At 42.9% G+C, this 21,761-nt stretch overlaps 1 protein-coding gene, 1 long non-coding RNA gene and 1 pseudogene across 5 annotated transcripts in view; 1 reads left to right on the forward strand and 2 right to left on the reverse strand.

The window, feature by feature from the left end:
- GNG12 (G protein subunit gamma 12) overlaps positions 1–21,761 on the reverse strand; it is a 131,993-nt gene that overhangs the window by 53,029 nt on the left and 57,203 nt on the right. The window contains exon 3 of one of the 4 annotated variants that reach the window (XM_047425415.1): positions 13,224–13,253. The exons of the other annotated variants lie outside the window; for them this stretch is intronic. The gene's annotated coding sequence lies outside the window, so the exon portion shown is untranslated. The remainder of the gene's footprint in view (positions 1–13,223; positions 13,254–21,761) is intronic. 4 annotated transcript variants of the gene reach the window in all.
- The window catches only part of LOC105378781 (uncharacterized), a 28,722-nt gene continuing 7,205 nt past the window's right edge, over positions 245–21,761 (forward strand). Inside the window, exons 1-2 of the long non-coding RNA XR_007066163.1 lie at positions 245–770; positions 19,664–19,725. This is a non-coding gene — a long non-coding RNA (uncharacterized LOC105378781). The remainder of the gene's footprint in view (positions 771–19,663; positions 19,726–21,761) is intronic.
- RNU7-80P (RNA, U7 small nuclear 80 pseudogene) lies at positions 18,097–18,149 on the reverse strand (annotated as a pseudogene).

A 21,761-nucleotide genomic window follows, 5' to 3' on the forward strand; every position in this document is an offset into this window, starting at 1 on the left:
CCCTAGTTGGGAGTATAAGCAGCTGGCCCCTGGATCACTGTAGCACAGCCATGGCTGTCTAGCTGGTCTCTCTACCTCCCCTCAATCCACTCTGCACACCCAAAGTGATGTTTCTGTAAAGAAAAGTTGACTGTGACCCTCCCCTTTTAAAGTTCTGTCCACAGTTTAGATATCGCTTCCTGCAGGAAGCAGTGCTGATGCAGGAAGCCACAGCACCTCCGTCTCTCCCATCAGGATACCGAGCACACTTGTTGGTCTTCTGCATTAGAGGCCACTCCGTGAGGACTTCCTTGCTCTCCTCTGAGCAGTGGAAGGTTTTTAATCACTCCTTGTGTAGCAGGCACTCCAGCCTGCTACCTGACAGCCATCTAACTCCCTCCTCTCTGCTGGTAGAACAAGTTCACTCTTTCCTCATGTGATGAAGGTAAATCCAGATTGGTCTAGGCCACATGGATGGCCCCAGACCACTTCTGAGTGTTTAGTGGTGGGCATGTGCCCCAGTTCTGACCAGTGAGACATGAGGGGAGGTTGGCTTGGGAATTTTGAAAGGTCTCTTCATTCATAGAGAGATGCATAAGAAACAGTTCTTTATCTGTCCGCCTTGGCGTTGTTACAAGAGGATGGGATGCCTTTGACCTTTCTGTACCTAGGAGGAGAGCTTGCTGATGCTCTGAGGATAGCAGAGTAGGTGGAAAGAGCTTGATGGTGTTGAGCTGCTGAATTACCAAACTGGAAGCAGACTACATGTGGACTTCTTTTTATATGAGATGGTAAGTTCCCTTTGGTTTAGGCCATTTTGAATTGGGTTTTCTGTTACTTGGAGCTCAAACAGATTACAGATTCTTGGGCACTTTTCACTTCCTATTTTGTCTTAGAGGTACTTATTAGGTACAAATCTTGTTTCTTGTTTTAGACTGTGGTCTTTTTAAGGGCAGCATTTGCATTTTGATAGATCCTTGTATCTCCCAGAGGCTGGTGGCTTGTCCTACTCTTGAGATTGAATGAAGAGCCAGCATCGTCTTCCGGCCTCACACTATAAGGTCTCACAACCTGTAGATGGGCCTTCTTCAGGGGCTTAATTTCTTCATTTATTTTTACAAATGTTCAATGTAGGAAGAAACATGAACAAAATATAAAAGCTCTACAGTCCACTCTAGGAGGCAAACCTATCACATCCATCCTTATATACCTCACTGTACTGAACACATGCTTTGTGCAAAGTGGATACTCAAAATGTTTGCTAAAGGAATAATTTAATTTGCCTCTGATGAGTCAAGAGCACTTAGGACTTTTATAATGTCCTAAGGTCATAACGAACAGTAATTACCGACAAATAGTGCTAAATATATCCTGGTTCTAGGAGATCACTGGTAGTAAGGTTTTGTTTGTTTATATGACAGCCTTGATCCACCAAGATGCTAAAGCCTTAAAATAGAACAAGCAGAACTAGGCTTTGTACAGTGAAGCAAAAAAATAAAAGTTTGAGCAGCAGAGCTGCCCACTGGATGTGTGCTGAATGCCCATCTTACTTGTGCCTGGCCCTGGGGCTCAGCCAGGTAAGACGAACCCATTGTCCTCAAGGGGCTTAGAGTGTGGGAGTGGGAGGAAGAAAAACAGACAACTTCAAAAGAGTGCAGTAAATGTTATAATAGGTAAGGTAGAGGGTGCAATAGAGATTCCAAGGCCAGACCTGGTGCATTGAGAAGGTTTCTCAGAAGAGTATCTGAACACAAAGGGTAAGTTTATCATACAGGAAGGGACCAAAAAAATAATAAATAAAAAGAAGAGTAGCATGATCAGGTCTGTAGTTTATAAAAAGCTAATTCTGACTGTAATATGAGGTAGGAGAGACAAGGCTGAAGTCAGCAAGGCCAGTTGAGGGGCTGCTACAGTAATTCATTGTGGAATACCACAGGTTTCTCAGGCTGGAAACAGGTTAATGACAAATAATGTCAGGCCTGGGTTTTCAAGAGCATGTGGTGCTATGGCTGCTGCTCAAAGGATGATGGCTCTGGACACCAGTTTCCCATCTTCTGGGTTCAGGATGGGGAGTGGGTTTGACTTGGAGGCCACAAGATAGGGTGTGATGGTTTTAACCTGGTGTGAGCATGAGTGCACGTGTGTGTGCATATGTGTGTGATGTGACGCTCCGCCTCCTCATTTACCACATCTCACAGTTAGGTGAGCACAGGAATGGCTCTGGTCCCAGCATGGCCACAGATTCCTCTGTGATCTAGTTCAAGGGGTCATACCTCTTTGACCCCCAGCTTTTTCACAGGTCCTATCAAGAAGCTGGGCCAATCTCTAAAACCAATCAACTGGTCTGCCCGGGTCATCTGCACTGCAAGGTTTATGATTCTCTGTACCAGGGCTTCTCAGCCGGTGTACCCTGCTGAGGTTCAGGTATGCCTCAGCCCCAGGTGGCCTGACAGGGCCTGGACCATCCAGAGCCTCCAGCTGTGGGCATCTTCCTCCATGCTATAGTACGACTTTTCTAAATGTGCCATTTAAGTTGAGTATCCCTTATTCAAAATGCTTGTCACCAGAAATGTTTTAAATTTTTGGATTTTTCTCAGATCTTGGAGTATTTGTATATACATAATGAGATATCTTGGGGATAAGACCCAAGTCTAAACTTGAAATTCATTTATGTTGCATATAGGCCTTATACACAGAGCCTGAAGGTAATTTTATATACTTTAAATATTGTGTATGATACAAAGTTTGTTCACACTGAACCATCACAAAGCAAAGGTGTCAGACAGGGAATTTTCCACTTCTGGTGTCATGTCAGTGCTCAAAAAATTTCTGAATTTTGGAGGATTTCAGATTCCTGGATTAGGAATGATCAGCCTACATGAGGAAACAGGCAGGAAGCACCACTCTAGACAAGAGAAAGAAAAACATTCGCATGAGCCCAGAATCTCCTTTGGCTCATCACTCATGTCTCCTTCCGTCACTCAAGTGTCCACTAGCTCTTTAATGACAAAGCCAACACCAACCTGCTTCCAGCTGCATACTGGAAAGGCAACCAAAGACCGACATGGCTGGAAGATGCCAAGCAGTAGGGCCAAAGGGACTATCACAAATGGGAGCCTTTCCACTAGGGCTTTCCACCTCATGCCCTCCTGCCTTCCGGGGGACCTTGCTCTATACTGACTGTTGCCTTCCCTCCAGAAGCTCCAAACTCCCTCTCCATCTCCTTTGATATGTGTGATTTTGGTCACAGTGGAAAAAAATCTTGTATTTACAGGGAGAAAAATTCAGAAGGAAAAGCACTGCTTTCTTTGAGAAGGCTGAACTAGGGGTCCCCAAGGACACTGGGGAGTGTTGGGAAGTTCTGAGAAAGATTTGAGATGGCTCAGCTCACTTAAAAAGAAAACGCAGCAATGGACAGGGGTTACATAAACGAGTCTCTGTGCTCAGAATCGCAGGTCTGAAAAGGAGGTTTTAGTTTGGCTTTGGGTTTCCTTTTTTGTTTTTTTGAGACAGAGTTTTACTCTTGTCGCCCAGTCTGCAGTGCAGTGGCACGGTCTCGGCTCACTGCAGTGTCTGCCTCCCAGGTTCAAGCAATTCTCCTGCCTCAGCCTCCCGAGGAGCTGGGATTACAGGCACCCACGACCACACCCCTGGCTAATTTTTGTATTTTTAGTAAAGATGGGGTTTCACCATGTTGGCCAGGCTGGTCTCAAACTCCTGACCTCAGTCAATTTGCCTGCCTAGGCTTCCCAAAGTATTGGGATTACAGGTGTGAGCCACTGCGTCCAGCCCTAGCTTTGGGTTTCCTATTGCAGCAACACATTAGAATAAACAAACAACCAAACCCTTGGGACTGAACTAATACACCTGGAGAAGGATTAATGTGGCCTGGGTCCTGCTATCCCTCCTCAGACCTAGTATTTCGCCATGACGATGAAATACTATTGGCTGGTAGCAGCGGCCAGCTCGCTAACCTGGGCAGCAGACCCCTCTCTGCTCTTCACACAGCTTGGCATTGGCCTGGTGTCAGGATTGGGGAGCATGCTGGACAGGGGCTGAGTGGCTGCTATATGCACACTGGAGCACACATTGATAGTACAGCAGAGAGGGCTGGGCTCATCCCTGGTAACCTGTCAGCCCTGGCTTTTAGATGCTTGAAAGATGAGGTTGGATACAACTATAGAACAAACCCACCCAAAAAAGTCCTTGAGAGAAAAACATGAAGCAAATAAAATCAGCTAAGATGCTCCCTGTGGAAGCGTGTCTTAAAAACATTTGCCTTTTCCTGATTGCTCCAATGGAGGAATACCTTATTACCAACAAAAAGTTAGGAGTGATGTATGGGAGCTAAAAAAGTAGACCTCATGGAGGTAGAGACTAGAATGGTGGTTACCAGAGGCTGGGAAGGGAAGGGGGGGATGAAAAGTTGGTTAAGGGGTCCCAAAATACAGTTAGGGAGAAAGAATAAGTTTTAGTATCTGACAGTACAGTAGAAAAATTAGAGTCAACAACAATTTATTGTATATTTCAAAACAGCTAAAAAAATGTGCAATGTTCCCAACACAAACAAAAGATAAATGTCTGAGGTGATGGACAGCCCAATTACCCTGATTTGATCATTATACATTGTATACATGATCAAAATACCACATGTATCCCCCAAATATGCACAACTATTATACAACAATAAAAAATGTTTTAAGAAGTTAGGGGTGAAATCCAGCACATGGAACAGCATATACATCCCACAGTACTAATGGAGGCCAGAGGGCATGTGGCTTTGGGTGGGAGGAGTGTCAAGATCTCTATGGTTCCTGCGTAGGCAGTCTTCTCTGTGTTGGCTAACTATAGTCTGAGAACTATTCACCTCAGTAAACACTGGTCAAGTGCCTAACTGCATCCAAAGTACTGTGGGAGACAATACAGTGTAGCCATTAAGAAAACGAATTCTGGAATCAGGTAGGCCTGGGTTTGTGTTCGGACTCTTTCACCCATTCCCTGTGTGACCTGCGAATATCTGTTGGCTGTAATTATTATAATCTTGGTGCACCTCAATTTCCTCATCTACAAAATGGACATAAGAACTATATGTACCTCAAAGAGTTGCTGTGAGAGTTAAATGAAATCATGCAAGTATGATGTTTTGTATAATACCTTATACATAGTAAGTGTGCAATAAATACTAGTCATTGTTATTCCTAGAAGCTTCCCCAAATTATTTTAAAAAGAAGGCACCTAGATCTAAATGACAGTCCATGTAACAAAGAAAACCCTTACTTGAGCAATTTCAGTGAAGGCCATTTTTCAACAATGCTCACTCACTTCCCTCCACTCTGGGTCCCAGTCATGTATAAAACACTCTGCTTTGTGTTGACTAAGCTCCACAGTGACATTCCAAGGAGTTCTGGTGTCCCTCCAAATATTCTAGGCTGCCCTTTTAACCTGATACTGATACCCTGTCCACTCTACTGTTTAAGGGGCTATTTAAAAATTTGGCTTTGTAAAGCAGGGAGCAAGGCAGAAAGCCTTCAAAGCTTTAGCAGTTGGCGTGGCAAGGAACAGAAAAGCAGCATTTTACAGTATCAAATACCAGAAGTAGCCCTCATAACCACTAACTTTGTAGTGCTCTTCCTTCACTGTGGCGAAGTGCTGAGCATGTTACATGCATTACATTACTGAAACCAAGGCCCTGTGACGTTCCAGTGAGTCCAAGGTGCTAGCTGGTGTGAGTACAGCTGTGGGCTCTAATCTATGCTTTGCTTCAAAGTCCACGCATGCAAATCCTGGGCAACTCCCTGAGTTTCCAAGGCAACTCAGCCAACTCATCCAGAGGTAACTAGCTTCCAATAACTGTATAAGCTCACTCCCATCATTTGGTAGGTTGGTAGGTCAATCAGTTCAATTTATTTTTATTTTTATTTATTTTTTGCTTTCTCTGATATTTGACCAACCACGACACCTAGTGGCCAGTGGAGCACAAACATGGGTTGCCCGAAAAGGCTGATGGACGGGTGATGTGTGTCTTTAGCTTTAAGACACACGTTGCTCATGACCAGGAAAAACCTGATGGATCGTGTTCAAGGCAAAGAAACCAAGGCACAGAGAAATGAAGCGACTTGCCTAAAGTCAAAGCTAATGTAGAACTGTGTGGAAATACTGAACCTTAGTGTTAGAACTCGTATTCTGATTCAGACTTGGCCTAAATTTGATCCTCAGCAAGATACTTTCTTCAGTTATTCAACAAACATTGACTGGGCACCTCCTGAGTAAGGCACTGTGCCAGATGCCGGGGACATGACAGTAAGCAAGGAGGACACGTCTCGATCCTTGCAGTCAAATAGGAGGGGAAGATAAACAGAGAATCCACAATAACAATACCAGCTAATATGTATTAAGGACTCTGCTTCAAGAGTTTCATGTACACCAACTCGCTTCATCCTTGACTTGAAACAATCCTATAATGGGGGTGCGATTATTATTCTTGCTTTGAAAATGTGCAGGAGAACATTTAAGTTGTGGGTAACAAACAGGGCTCCTATGCCTTTCTAGGTCTAAGTTTCTGAAATAAAGTTGTGCTAGATACTGGAAGATTTCTAAGACCTCTTTCCAGATCAGTTTCCCTTCACTTCTAGGATTCTGGGGTAAAGCTGGGATTAGACCTTGGTCGGTTTTCCTGACCAAGAGTCTAGTGTTCCCTCTCTATACACTGTGCTGGTCAATATTTATGAATAACAGCTGGAAGTTATTGAATGCTTACTCTGTGCCACGCCCTGAATTTCTCAGTTCAGGCAATCTTCTTCACAACCTATGAGACAGCTTTAAGATACAAATAATAACTGAGTGAAAAATCATGCTCTAAAATAGTTTAAAAGATTTCCAAGATAAACAGAGAGGCTTCCAACCTCACTCAGCTGTAGCATCCTGAATCTCTGTTCTGTCTGATTTTGTTGAATGGTGGATTTAAACCTTATGTATTGGTGTCCTCAGGCTCTCATGAAGGGAATGGATAATGGGTCCAGGCAAATGGTTCAATGATGAGTTACTGTCTAGGGAAACAGGGGGCATCTTGTTCAATAACAACATTGCTTTGGGGTAATTCTGGGTCCCTAGAAGTATCTACAAAGCCTGCAAGGTCAAGTGCAGGTCGACTTGGCTCTTTGGTTTTATGATTCCAAATAAATAAAACACATTTCCAACAGTTCAGCAGGGTATATCCGAGATCGGCAAACTCTCCAACGAGGTATTCCCGTTAACCCTTAGTCCCTTACCCTCCCTGAGGGTATGTGCACACCATCCGCTTTCTGTCGGGTGAGGGAGGGTGCAGGGAGAGAGGCAGGGGCAATCAGGAAAACTCTCTCAGTGATCCTGCAAATGGGAAATGGGGACATTGAGTTTAATCACGGCTCCACTCCAGGACCAAAGAAAGCAACTCCTGCCACCTGCAGTCAGACCACTCTCTCCCACACCCAGGAAAGCAGACCCAGTGGGACCTAGAGCTTCCCAGGTCTTGTAAGACTCTGGCCTCTTTGTTCAGGGCCTCCAGAATGATACTCCAGTGGGTCTTGGTGAGAACATACATTAGATATGCTGCAATGTTTAGCCTAGAATGCTCTGCTAGCTTTTCCAAATGGCAAGCTCTCACTGAACTTTCTAGGGCTACAGATCAATACCTTCTTTTGCCTGACCACCACCACCGCCCCCAACCCAAGGCTGTCCACAGTAGGAACTGCCACATTTGCCCAGTACCTAACACAAGATTGTAATCACTGACTTGTTTATCTGCCTACCCCATGGACTTGAAACATCTCTAAAAGATGAAGTGGGGTGGCTTAACCATCCTTACGTACTCAGTACCTAGCTAGCACAGCCTCTGGATTGAGGAGGTGCTGATTCCCAAAGAGCTGGAAAGGAAGGCAAGGAACTGTAAGGCTAGAAGAGGCTTAAGAGGTCATCTCATTTATAATCCTGCCCAATACAGGATTTCCCTCAAAATACAAGAAATTATTTTGAGGGAAAATAATACAAAAAGTAAAGAAAAACAAGAGAAAAGTTTAAAAGAGTATGTATTTATGTACATATATACCTTCTACATGCATACATACATATATGGCATCCTTCTACTGGAATGGGGTATGTGGTGGTAAAGACGCAGAGTAAGATTCACTCAGATTTTTGAGCATTAGCGTTTATCTCTTTTTAAAGTTTTTTTCCCTAATTTTTTTCCCCTAATTTTTCACAAAATACATGCAATTTAGTGAAAAATTTGTAAAATATAATTAAAGTGAACAGAAGGTAAAAGTTAACATGCTGTTATATTTCCTTCTAATATTTTCTTGGGAGTTTTTGTTCTTCCTTTTTTAAAAAATCAAAGGAAACCTTGATCAGATTGAGTTTTTAAGGTAGTCTAAATTATACTCTGCTGCACAACTTTATATTTTGCTCCGTTCTAGCAAAAGCATTTCCCTATGTGATTATAAAGTCTTTATAAGCATCATGTTTTAACTTTTATTTTGATATAAGTTCAGACTTAGAGAATAGTCGCAAAGCACCCAGATTTGGGTTCCTCAAATGTAAACATTTTACTATATTTAACACCCTACCCTCCCAGGAGAGAGAGAGAGAGAGAGAGAGAGAGAGAATCAATATGAAGTTTTACTCCTAAATATTTCAGTGTATACTTCCTATGAATAAGAATAAGGAATTCTCATATATAACCACACCAATTAGTCAAATCAGGAAATTAACTCTGATATTTTACTATTATCTGATCTACAACCTTATTCAGATTTTGGTGATTATCCCAATAATGTCCTTTACAGGAAAAGAAAATACAAAATTATACATTATGTTCAACTGTCATGTCTCTTTAGTCTTCTTGACTCTGGCATGCTTCCTGAGTATGTCTTGGTTTTTAATGTTATTAATATTTAAGAGTAAGTGCTGGTTATTTTGTGGAATGTCCCTCAATTTGGGTTTGCACATGTTTTTTCCTGATTCGATGCAGGTTATGCACGTTTGGTAGGGATACCACAGAAATAAATATCCATCACTTTTTTTTTTTTTGGTAAGAGACAGGGTCTCACTCTGTCACCCAAGTTAGAGTGCAGTGGTGCAATCACATAGCTCTACAGCCTCAAACTCCTGGGCTCAAACAACCCTCCTGCCTCAGCCTCCAGGGTAGCTGGGACTACAAATTCCATTTTACACAAGCATGTCCTTATTAGAGAATTTTAGGTTGTTTTTATAATTTTGCTATAATTCCAAATCCACCCCCCTCCCACCCTATGAATTACTGATTGGCTTTCCACCATTAATTTTTATATTAATAATTTATCCATTTAAAAGAATATGTTAAGATTGTTACTATATTAACAACTTTTGTCTAAGAAGCTCTGTCAATTTGCAGTCTAACAAAGGATGGAGTGTGAACTCCATGTCAGGCTAACAAGCCTTGAGCACTGACATGCTAGTATTGCACTGCTGTTTTAGTGGCTTTCACCTTAAATTGTGGTTATAAACGGCATTGCTCCTGTCATGCCTCTGAATATATTCCTTTGTTTGTTTGCTTTCTCATTCGTTCACTCCTTCACATTCACTCAGTAAATACTGAGTGTATATTCTGGGCCAGTAGTTTAGGTGTGAGATCAAGGTCTCAAGTAAAGAAATAAACAAGAAAATATGGATTGTGGTAAGGGATATGAAATACACAGGCTGGTGCAACAATGAGTACCTGGAGGCAGTGCTCCAGGTAGACAGGGAATAGTCTGGTGCGTAGAGAAAGACAAATGAGCCAGTGAGCTGCAGCTGGGGGACCAGGAGAAAGAGGTGGGGCATCTCTTGGCATTTACCATAAAATTCTATCAAAATGTCTCCAAAACATTGCTCTTACTAAAAATACGAACCCTTATTCTGACCTATCCCAAGTACCCACTTCCAAAGCCTACCCTTCTCCTCTGTCTGTCCTAGTCAGCAGAGTCTAAACTTCAGCGTATTATAATTTGTGAATAATAATGAAAGCCTGAAAATGCTCTGAAATTAGAGGGAACTTAGATACCATCCTGATGTTGCTCAGCATTGCAATTACCTGACTTTGAGGGACCATTAATGAATGAGACTGTCTCAACACTAGATTAATGGCCACTTTCAACAGTGGAAAGGGAACAGATGTCCAAGAAGACAGAAAGGTACTAACAGCTGTGTGTATATGCGTGTGTGTATATGTGTGTGTGTTCTCCTTCAATAACCGGGGTGGTGGCTATGGCCACAAGCAAGGAAGATGGGTGTTCATGCAAAAACAATCAATCTGCTTGTGCTTTGGAGTTACTCTGGTCTAGCAGAAACTGCAGCTCCCCAGGGCTCACTATCACCTCTGGACTTTGTCAGAGTGAGTCAAGTAGCAAGAACACAGAGGAATCGTCCAGGAACTAGACCTGGGAAAAATATATCCGTCTTTCTCCAAACAAAGCCTGTTTGGTATTTCAGGCAATTAGTTTCCAAACACTTGGGTCAAAAAGCAACAGATTATATTGTCAAAAAATTATTTCCTTGCATGAGATGAAAAATTAGACAAAATATATAAGAATACATAAAAATTAAAGTAGACAAAATATATAAGAATATTATCAATAGTCATTAGATGCCCCTGTCAAGCACTGAAAAAATAACTTATAATAATCTATAAAATGTATGCACACTCTTTTCTTTTCACATCCTTCTAAGGGAAACAGCCCCCAGTAGGCGATTAAGCTGATGCACGAGTAACGATCTCTTAACAATGCCATGCCATCAAATACTGAAGTACAGTTCAGTGTTTCTAAGAGCAGAGAAAGAAAAAAAACATTAAAATTATTACTAATATAAACACTATGATTGTATATTGCACTTGAGGGATGAAGATCTAGAACAATGAAGATGATAAACATATTTACCTACAGACAAAAGATGGTAGATAAGATTTTTATTATAAAGGCTTTGTTTATAAAGGGAACACATTAGAAGCTAAGTAATTGGGTCAGATTTGGTAATTAAAAGCAGCTGAATAATCAACAAACGCTTAACAAAGGTGTTAGAACAAGATCATATTTTAACAGAAGATGAAATACATAGAAAGGTTTGTATATTTCAACCCTTATTCTTCTGCCTGTTTTGCATTTTTCTTTTAAAAATACACAAAAAGTATAGGAAGCAGTAGTGAAATAACTACTACCTAGTCAACCTGTGACTGAATCTGGCAGTTGTTAGTAGCAGGTGTAAATGAAACGATGCGAATAAACTAGCAGGACTAAATCAAAAAGATTTCAATGTGGGTGACATAGCTAAAGTCTATAATTTAGGATCTCTAATACATATCCAGTTTGTGGTTGAAAATTCCTGCTTTCTAGTGGGCTTTACGTCTGCCACAACCCCAAGGAGTGAAAGGAAACTCAAGACTAACAATGATTTGTTGTAACTAGACGTAGTGGTGAAAATCTGGCCAAAAAAAAGTCCACTATAAATGTAACAGCTGTGAGCCTTAAGCCTGGTGGCATTTAAACCATTTTATTCTTTATAGCTATAAGAGTATTCAACCCTAAGTTTACAATAATATCTCAAGGCAAAAACTCAAACAAAACAAGGCACACACGCACACACACACACACACACACACACACACACACACACACACACCCCTAAACAATGCCCTCATAGACAAGCCCCTTTCAAAGTCCCACCTAATTACAGGCTGACAATCTTTCCAAATTATCAATCAGAACAATAAAAATGCCCTTGAGGGCTCATTTTAAACAATTCTCTGGTCCTCCTCTAGGGGGCGAAGTTGGCTCGCATTTCACCGAAAGGGGAAATTATTTTCAAACCCTGATTTTCGCACAGTGCTAGAAAGATATTCACATACAAAGGGGTCTTTCCGCGCTCCTGCTTCTTCTCAATACATTTCACTTCGGCTGATGAGCAAAGCAGCCCAGCCCTTCGGCACAGTAAGAGGGAGGGAATGTGATTACGGCGGAGCATAAGCAGGGCTTAATCAGCACAACCCTGAAGGCCGGCCAGCTCATTCTCCTCAAACTTGAGATCACAGCTATGGTTTTGCCAAAGATGATACACTTTCAAGAATATATGTTGGTGTTTTTTTTTTTTTTTTCCAGGAGAATTTTCCACTGGGGAAATTCTGAAGCCAGGTGAAGCCTCACACGGGGCTCCCTCCCACCCGGTCTCCTCTGTAGGGCCTCCCTCTGAGAAACCACAAAGCAAGCTGCTGGAGGTCTGAGTGCCTGCCCTCCCTTCCTGCACAAACGGGGCCCTTTCTACCCTGAGGATGGCATCTGGTGGTCAGGAAGATGCCTGGACAGCAGTTCCTCGCTGGGCCTCGCTTCCCCCTCACGGAAAGGGTTAGGTGTCCTCTTAGGGAATGCAGGTCTAGCTACAGAAGGGGCATACACAGGCAATGCCTATTCCCAAGGGAGAATCAAATGTGAGTTTTAGCACCCTAGCAACCATACAAGGCAGAAGGCTCAGAGTGTGTGTGTCCCTGACCCATGGATAGATCGTTTTTGTGGGTTCTAAGCCTTATACAATTTTGGGGGTCCTCTTTAGAAAAATCATACAAAATTAGGAATATCACATTAGCTACAGGGCATTGGAATGGGATGTTGCCAGTGAAAGATCCTGAACCTTAGGGCTCTTTAACTGCTGGGCCATGCAGTTATCTTGTCCAGCCTGCCACCACTGGACTCTCCCCTGCAGTAAAACCCCATGTCACGTGTGCTGGCTCTGGGTCTCTTCTTGGCCTCTTGAACATGGTGCCATCTCTAATGAGACTGACAGGGGTTCAGCACGACAGGGCCTGAGCTCCTCCCGCTTAGGACTGTCCATTGCCTGGAGACAGATACCGAGGTGGAGCTATTGAAAGAAACACTTGCGCTGCCCTGTGAAAGGGAACAAACTCCTCTGCCACGGGTCAGCTCTCCACACCTACCTGACCAAGTCTCAGTAACCAGTTTGGGTCATCTCACTAGTTCAGACTCTGCCTCCTCCTCCTTTTCCACCCATGGGAAGGTTATGCAACCCTCCTTCCAGACCTCCTTGGGCTGCACAAAGGTGCCAACTATACTAGTCTTTACTGAAAGACAGCAAAATAAAGTGACCTCAATTGAGAGCATTTATCTAAACATAGTTTGTTTGCATATTTTCAGTCCTTGTAAAAATAATACACAATTTTCTCCTTATCTGATGGCAATATCACTTACCTAAATCTTAACAATAAAATGAGGCAAGGCCTAAAAAAATAGAAAGTTAAGTTTAGTTGATGTAGCTTGTTTTCACATGTGCTACAGTTTGGAATTTATAAGCAAACCAGATATAAATTTTCTTCTTTTTGAACAAAACAGTAAGAACAACTTCTTACATATAGAAATGTCTTCATAAAATCCATTTATCACAAAAAACAGTGTTCTGCAAATTTGATTTAAAAGCTTTTTTTGGAGATGGGCTCTTGCTACGTTGCGGAGGCTGGACTCGAATTCTTAGGCTCAAGGGAATCCTTGGCTTCAGCCTACCAATGAGCTGGGACTATAGGCACATGCCACTGTGCTTGGTCTTCTGCAAATTCTTATTTGTAAAACGGAATGTGCTGGGAAAATAACAGCCACCATTATTTGCATCCTGTGAACCACACATAGTCTAAACATTTCATATAGACTATTTCACTTAATCACCTCAATAACCCTATGCAGTATTATCCCTATTTTATTGATGCAGAAATTGAGGCTTTAAGAGGTAAGCGACTTGTCCAAGGTTACAAAGGTATTTTGTATAGATTTGAGGCTGGGCAGGTTGAGCCTTATTGTTAGTCCCTGTGCCATGCTGCCTCAGCAGCCAAAAATCACTTTTGATACTATAAAGAACTAGTGAGTTTCACAAGATAGTTATTTTTTAAAAGCAGATCATTGCACATATTTAGATTTTTTCCCAAATTCCTATTTGATTAAAAAAAAACAGGCTGAGGAATGGGGCTAGTTTTTTCCAAGGCTTTAAAGGTTTTTAGAAATCATCATAATAGTTAAATGCAAACAATGTAATAGCTACCATTTATTGAACATGTATTATGTGATGGGCCACTGGCTAAGTTCACTATGTGCAGTGTTTCCTTTAATATAGCTATCTTGTGAGGCAAATGATATGATGCCCATTTAACAGATGAGGAAACTGAGACTCAGAAAGGTTAACCGTAACCATGTTCAAAGTGTCTCAATAGATAAGGAAAGTTTGAACTCTAGTCTATCTGCCCACACTAAGCCACTTCCCTACTATAAAATGTATACATATAAAAAGTATGCTTTAGCTAAGAGCCTGTTAGTTATTTCAAATATATATCTAGATCTTTGAATGGCCAGTGCAAATCACCATATGCTTTTAGGCCAAGAGAATATAGATGAACAGTCCCAGGGGAGTTGAGTTCTGCTATCTGAGCTTCTGTCTCTAATATCACCTCATATGATGGGTCTGGGGGAGGAAAGGAGGGAGCTGTATCTTGCCATCTTTGTAAGCAGCCAGTAAAAATGAGGACATAAATCAGGTCCACATCTGGATATATAATGTTCAGTCTTGCCAAGAGACTAGTACATGATGGAACTACCCAAAATGCATTTAATACATTCTTAGGCCACTGCACCCAGAGAGACTCCAACTTTAGCTGACCCAAGCATCTTCCCAGCATGTGTCACTTGCTCATTTGAGACGCTGGCTTCACCATGGGTTGGGGGGTCTATACTCAGCGAGTGACCTAATTGTTACAGGACCCAACATCACAGTGGTCCAACCACACATGAAAAAGGAGGGCACGTTGGCAGGGAGGCTGAGTTCACAGTGCTGGCGCCAGAGAAGGCAGAGAAATATGCTGACTCCAAATGTCACATGAGCATGAAAGAAAACCTACATAAGTGAGGGTGGGTCTTTGGAGGGAGGTAGGATACATTCTGCAAGGCTTGAATTTGCAGAGTTCATAAACTCTGCATGGAGCCCTGATCAAAATGCTTCCATGAAGCACAGCAAATACGTTCTCAGATCAAGAGAAACTATGTTAGGGTCATGAGCATGAGAAATGGCATGAGCACAGTTTCCAAATACTAGCTTTCTGCTGGAGTTATACAGGTGCACGTTGGTATGCAGGTAGAGGAAACCCACCCAGATACACAGGTCAAAAGTTTCCCTGTGGGCTTAGATAACAGGGTGTCTAAGCTTCGCTTTGGAATCTCTGAGGCCCAGGAAAGAATTCCAATTTTCCCAAACATTTCCCATTTTTCCAATGTCCAATTCTCCCAGACAAGGCACGCACACACACACTCACACTCACACTCACTCTCACTCTCTCTCTCTCCTGAGATCCCATTAGAGAGAAAGAACGTCACAGGAAGCTAGGTTTGGCTCAGAGGGAGCAGCATCTTTCCAACAACTCCAACTTAGCTGAAAATCTGAATGGGATGATATGGGAGGGAAGGAGGGGAGATGGAGGTAGGAAGCTCCTCACCAGATGAAGGACCACTTTTAGAGTGTTAAAAGAAGGGAAGTGTCTCACACTGGGTCTGAGGTTAAGATGCGAAAGTGAAGGTTTCCACCACCTCAAGATGTAACAGATGGGAAATTCCAAAGCAAGGGATCTGATCATTATGCAGAAATTTCTAAGAAGATGGCTCTAAGACCCAGAAGGAGGACACAAACAGGTCAGGACGGTGGAAAGCAATGGAGGATTCTGTGAGTAAGATTCTTTGGTAATGCTCTGATTCCTACGGTTTCCAAGGTGGGTGGAATGGAGAGGGCTCAGCCTTTCTTCTCCAGCCCAGAGAAAAGGGTTTCAAAAGCTGTATGTGGTGAGTTTGATATGCATCTCCCTCAGGAACCAAAATGTGAGAGGGAGCTGACGCTGGCTAAACCAGCAGGGTGGATGCCACATCAGAAAGTGAGTACTGTCCCCTTGCCCCATGGTGGAGGGGAGGGTGAAAGGAATATGAACCCTGGACACCCAGAGTGGCAGCCTGGGTGTCTTTGCAACAGGTTCTCCCCGAGAGGGCTTTGGCATGAGAGTGAGAGGACCCCAAAGAGAGTCCGACTGGAAACCAGAAGATGCTGAGGGATGGCAACAGCAGCAGGAGGAGAGAACCACCCAAATCCCGGGGGGCCCAGAGCAAGGCCCCTCAGAGGAGTCCTGGAGAAGGCCATGGAGGCAGCCAGGAGAGAAAAAAGTCCCCTTTCCCTGTCTGCCAGGCTCAGATAACTTAGCATCAGATGTGACAGTCACAGTCAGGTAACGACTTGCTGCACACTCCCCCTGACCCCACAACCTGGAGAGACCTGAGCAGTGGGCAGCTGGAGGCCACTGGAGGGGGAAGTGGCCCTTGGTGGCTGGATGGAGGGAAGTCCTCCCTTGGAATGAATACTGACTGTTTATAGACCAAAAAGGGCATTTCAAATTTCCAAAATGAACCTGTGTGCATGTGTGTGTGCGTGCTGAGAGAGAGTGAGTGAGAGACAGAGATACAGAGAGAGAGAGAGAGAGGCAGGCTGACTTCAAGTGGCCTTAGAACTTCTCATTACCAGAAAAGTAACCAGAAAAGTCATGGGCCTGATCAAGTTATTATCAGGAAATAGGGTACAACATACCTCCCTGAATAAACTTTAAATGAACAGTGGGAGACAAGAATGAAGCTGAGTCTTAACTATGACTGGTGAGTCACATTGTACAATATATTAGTTACATACAGTTAACCTTTGCTAAGTCCTGACTAAGTGCCAGGCACTGGGCCATGGACTTCACAGACACTACCTCATTCAGTCCCTCTAACAACTCCTTGAGGCGGATATTTGACAGATAAGAAAACTGTGGCTCAGAGAAGTTAGGCAACTTGCCCAGGGTCACGCAGGTAAGTAAGTAAAGTAGTAGGAACCTGTATTCAACCTCAAGCCTGACATCTATCTGTGAGCTCTTGTATTGTCCCGGATGAGTGGTTTTCAGCAAAACTTTTGCGACTGAAGCAGGAAAGGGACTTGGGTCCTATCCATCCTTCCTCCTCGCGAGTCCCTGAGCTAGAAAACCAAAAAGCAGAGTTTGAAAGCCACTGACGAGCATGATCTTATGGGTCCTGTACAACACTCTGATTTTATGATGCTATCATCTGTGGGCGGGAAGGTGGAGAGAGGTGGACCCACCACAGCAGACACAGGCGACAGGAAAAACTCAGAATTTGTATCCAGTGTTCCAGGAGAGGCAGCTGGAAGGAGCTGGTTCCAGCAGGTGGATCTGAGGTTCACAGAATTATAATCATGTGTATAAATATAGAGTTCAGAGAATGCATGTAAAGCACTTAGCACAGAGCCTGGCATTAGGTAAATGGCAACTATGATTGTGGAAAGTTTACATATGTGCCTAAAAACCTCAACATATAATTTAATGCAACATGCTCAGCCACTGATGTCACTGTGTCTGTTCCATAAGGAGCTATGCTTATCATGGACACTACACTTTACTAATTGAGCCAAGACAAGAAAGGAATGTGTAAGATTAAGCTAGCCAAGTCTAAAACAATTAGAGTAAGTCTGAAGCAACGGTTTTTAAGCAAGAGGGGCCCAGGGAAGGGGGTAGGCATGGAGTCCTGTGACATAATGATGGAAAACATAATCCTTTCTCCAACAAAAAAAGTGCATATGTACAATTTTGCAAATAATGACAGAAGTTCACAGATCTGTTGAAGTCTATTCATAGTCTCCAGATTAAGAACTACTCCTGTAGATCCTGGGGATTCAACATGAGGTCCTCAGGCCAAGAGCTGCCCACCAGATCCCAAAGTGGTGCTACCCATCCTTGTCCTCTCCACATGTTCCTTATTGGTAGTCTGGATCATGACACCAAACCTGAAGTAGGTAGTCAATGTAACTGTGCAGAATCTAATTTCCAACCTTTCAAGTTTAATAGACTCCAAATGAAGAATGTCTAAACTAGTGGATTCTGGTACCTAGAAAATTTATCTGCTTGGCATTCTCATTCTTTCCTTCCCTCCTTCTGGTACCAACACCTCTCCTTTTTATTATTTTTTCATTTTTAAAATTTATTACATAATGTGGGGAGTCTTCCAGTGAAAAGAGGAAACCTGCTAGACAAATTCTAAAAGAGCTGTAACACTACCCCTCCTTTTTCCATGGGGAACCCGTTCTGTGTAATTCTGGTGGGATTTACCCTCTCTCATGGGACACATGAACAGGCCTTAGCCAAAGTGATGCTGCTTATTGTCTACTGCATATTTCTGGCCATGCTGATTCAGGCAGGCAATCCAATCTGGGCTGGTCAAGGTCCCTCCTTGGTACTCACTACTGCTAGAAGTATGGCAAAAGAGGCACCCATAGCTGTGAGAATGACAGAAACCCAGTACTGATAGCTACCTCTGCCACCATGGTGAGGGAGAGCATGTCTGAGAATGAAGCTGAGAGAGCTAAGCAAAGTCAAGACAGAGTGAAAGATAATGGCCTGATGATATCTTTGGAACTCCTGAATACAGCTGTGCCTGAAGCCCTTACTAGCATGGCCATCCTAATCATATAAGTCAAGAGACTAGTTTAAATTATATTTCTGTTGCTTGCAACCAAAATACTCCTAATAAACTTGATCCAAAGCAAAACAAAGTCCCAAAGGAAATTCTCCTTCACGGGTAGTTCTTGTGGAATTCTGGGCTCCTCTCTGACAACGATCCTGAATGAATTAAAACTTTTTCTTCCTACGACATTGTTGCAAAAAAGTCTAGGCTTAACATTATTCCCTATCATTCTCGGCACCAATGGTTCATCTTACCAGTGCTGCCAGTCAGCAAATATCTCATTCTCCCCACCCTTGATCCTGCACTCCTGCTCACCTTCCCTATACTATTGGATATTTCCTCTTGTAATAAATATTAAGGTTACTCATTAGAAGAGGAGGGACCCAGAAATGGACAATGGTGGCCTAGTTTATAGTTCGCTACCATCAAATACTTGGAGTCAAGTCTCATGAGCCTCTCAAACTGCCCCCAAAAGGCACTGAATGTTCCAGTATAAGAAATGAACCTAGAACCATGGGGCTCAAAAGAGAAGGAGAGAGACATGGAGCAAGGGAAGAGGATCATGCAGGGTCAATGTAAATTCTGTGTATCAAAAACCACAACACAGACTGAGTCATAGTGTAGAATGACTTGAGAGTTGAGAGAAATAACATTCACAGAGCACTATCAGGAAGTTATTTTTCTTTTAGAACAGGGATGGTAAGTAGATTTCAACTCGCGTGCCCAATCTGGTCCACAACTAAAATGCCAAGGCTCAGCATCAAGACGGTCATGACAATCTGAAGTCCATTACAAGGTGGGGAGGGGAGGAGGGTTGTGAATATATTTATTTGTTATTTCAGCTGAAACAATTACATTTCATCCTTGGACTAAGCAAGACCAACAGAGAAATGCACACCTGAACCTAGAAGGGTTTCTCTTGGACTGCACTCAGCTGTCACATCATTCACCTGCACCGAGGCAGTCGTCATTGTTTTACCTACAGAGATGTTGTCGGCCACTCTGTGTGGCATTATCTTTATGAGTACTCTGAAGACATTTCTCTGAGTCTTGAATCATGATCAACCCTGCTTCTTCTAAGTAACTGGTGTGCTTTTATCTTCCAGCCACCGTAAGTCATCAACGGAGCATGTTTTCCTTCTGGTACTGATTGCTCAGAAGCTCAGAGGTAAGTCTGTGGGAACTGCCAGCAAATGAATAGCCTCTCTCCCATGAACTGGGGACTTATTTTATCTCTGACTTCACCCCACTTTTCCTTCCCCACAGATTTCCTCCCTTACTTATTTTTCTTAATTGCATTATTTTACACCTATGTTTAAAGGCCATCTCAAAAATCTTTGAAGACAGCTACATACATCAGATCAACAGTAATTAACATAAGAGGAAACAAACCAGATGGTGAGTGGAGGAAAGTTTTACAAATGCTGCCATGCAGTGGCAGCCACAGGGTGATGGCCTTGAACCAGGAATAGCCCTGGGCCAACCCATCAAGTCAGCAAATATCTCATTCTCCCCACCCTGGATCCTGTGTTCCTGCTCACCTTCCCTACGCTCCATTCTCCATGGGCAGCCATTCCCCCTGGGCCATTTCTGAGCATCCACACCTACTCTCTCTTTAGTACTACTGGTTGCTCTCCCTCCCTCAACTCTTCCCACCAAATCAAAATGCCTTCCTCCTCTCTCTAGAACCTTGGGCTTGACTGTATGTTGTCAACAGTTGATAATAGCATAGTGTCTTTTCTCTTTCAAGGACAGGTACATTTTAACCAGGCATTTTGAAGAGGAAAAAAAAGCCCATAGAAGTAATTCACTAATGGTGGAATATACTACAAAAGTAGTACAAAAGCAATTGAAAAGGAGATTTTTTCTTGTAAATCTCAAGTAATTCTATGTAAGGTAGCACAGTACGTGGCACACAGTGCTCAATACACAGTAGCTACTCATTATTACTATTGTTGCTGTTATTGTTAATCCCACCACTACCATTTGATCACTCACTGTCTATTCCTTTTACCTCTACCACGCAGGCTACTGCCCTTTTCGGAACACTGGCCGACTGGAGATCCACAATCAATTAATCCATTTTAATCATATTTATGATTTATAATGTATTTTTACACACATTAGCCTTTTTTGATCTTCCTAGCAATTGTCTAGTTAAACATTCTTCTCATTTTATAGATGGGCAAACTGAGGCTCAGGAAGACTGAGTTAGTAAGGTTCCAGAGCCAGGCTCAAACTCAGGTTTTGTATAAATTTCTTGTTCTTCCCATAACAAGTGGTTGCCAACTAGAGTGCAATCACATCAGAATCATCAGAATTTTGAATGTCATGAAGATATTGTAAAAGCAAAAAAATAAAGAATCATTTGGGGTGCTTTAAGGTTCCTGGGGTCTACCCCAGACCTAATGAATATAGATGGCCCAGTGGAAGGGACTGTATGAGTTTGTATTTCAACAGGTGCCTTGTGTGATTCTGATGAGCTGCTGGTGGATGGACAAGTCCAATGCCCATGCTTCTTCTTGGTTGATTAAGTACCTGCTGTACCCTCAGCCCTGTGCTAAGTACTACAAGGCAGGCATATATCGCCTTTAGCTCTCAAAGAGCTAAGTGAATAAGAAGCTGGGAAGTGAGTAGGAGCTAGGAGGTAAGACTAAACAAGTGAAAAAGAGTGAGCCAAAGAAGGCACTGTTTGGCTTTGAAGGAAGTCAGAGCAGGCAAGATCACAGATGGCAGGAATAGAAAGGAAGGCCATGTCATGGAGAAGGGAAAATTCCAGTAGGTCTTGCAAAATGGGAAGGATTTCCAGGTAGAGAAGGGGTAAGTGGAATGAAATATCTTCAAGAGAGATACTGAACAGATTGTCTGGCAAGAATAAAGGGAATAGCAGGACTTGAACAAGAGAGAATGGGGCCAGAAAATGAGTGGAGAAGCTAGAGAAGAGCCTAGGCTGGTGTAGGGGATGGCAGGTAGGGAGGGAGGTGGTTTTTGAGGAGTAACGTCCTGAAAGATAAACTGAAGAATGACTAGTGTAGTGGTGCTGTGTAGAATGGAGGGAGGGCTGGAGGGTAGAAAACCTGGTATTTGCAAGACTGCCTAGGAACTTGTTGAACTGACTGAGATGCCAGACGGCTAGAAGTAAGACTAAGATTTGACAGTGCTGGCAGTCAGAATGGGGTGAAGGAATGGGACTATAAGATGGGA

Source organism: Homo sapiens, chromosome 1 (genome assembly GCF_000001405.40).
Source record: "Homo sapiens chromosome 1, GRCh38.p14 Primary Assembly".
Lineage (NCBI taxonomy): Eukaryota > Metazoa > Chordata > Mammalia > Primates > Hominidae > Homo > Homo sapiens.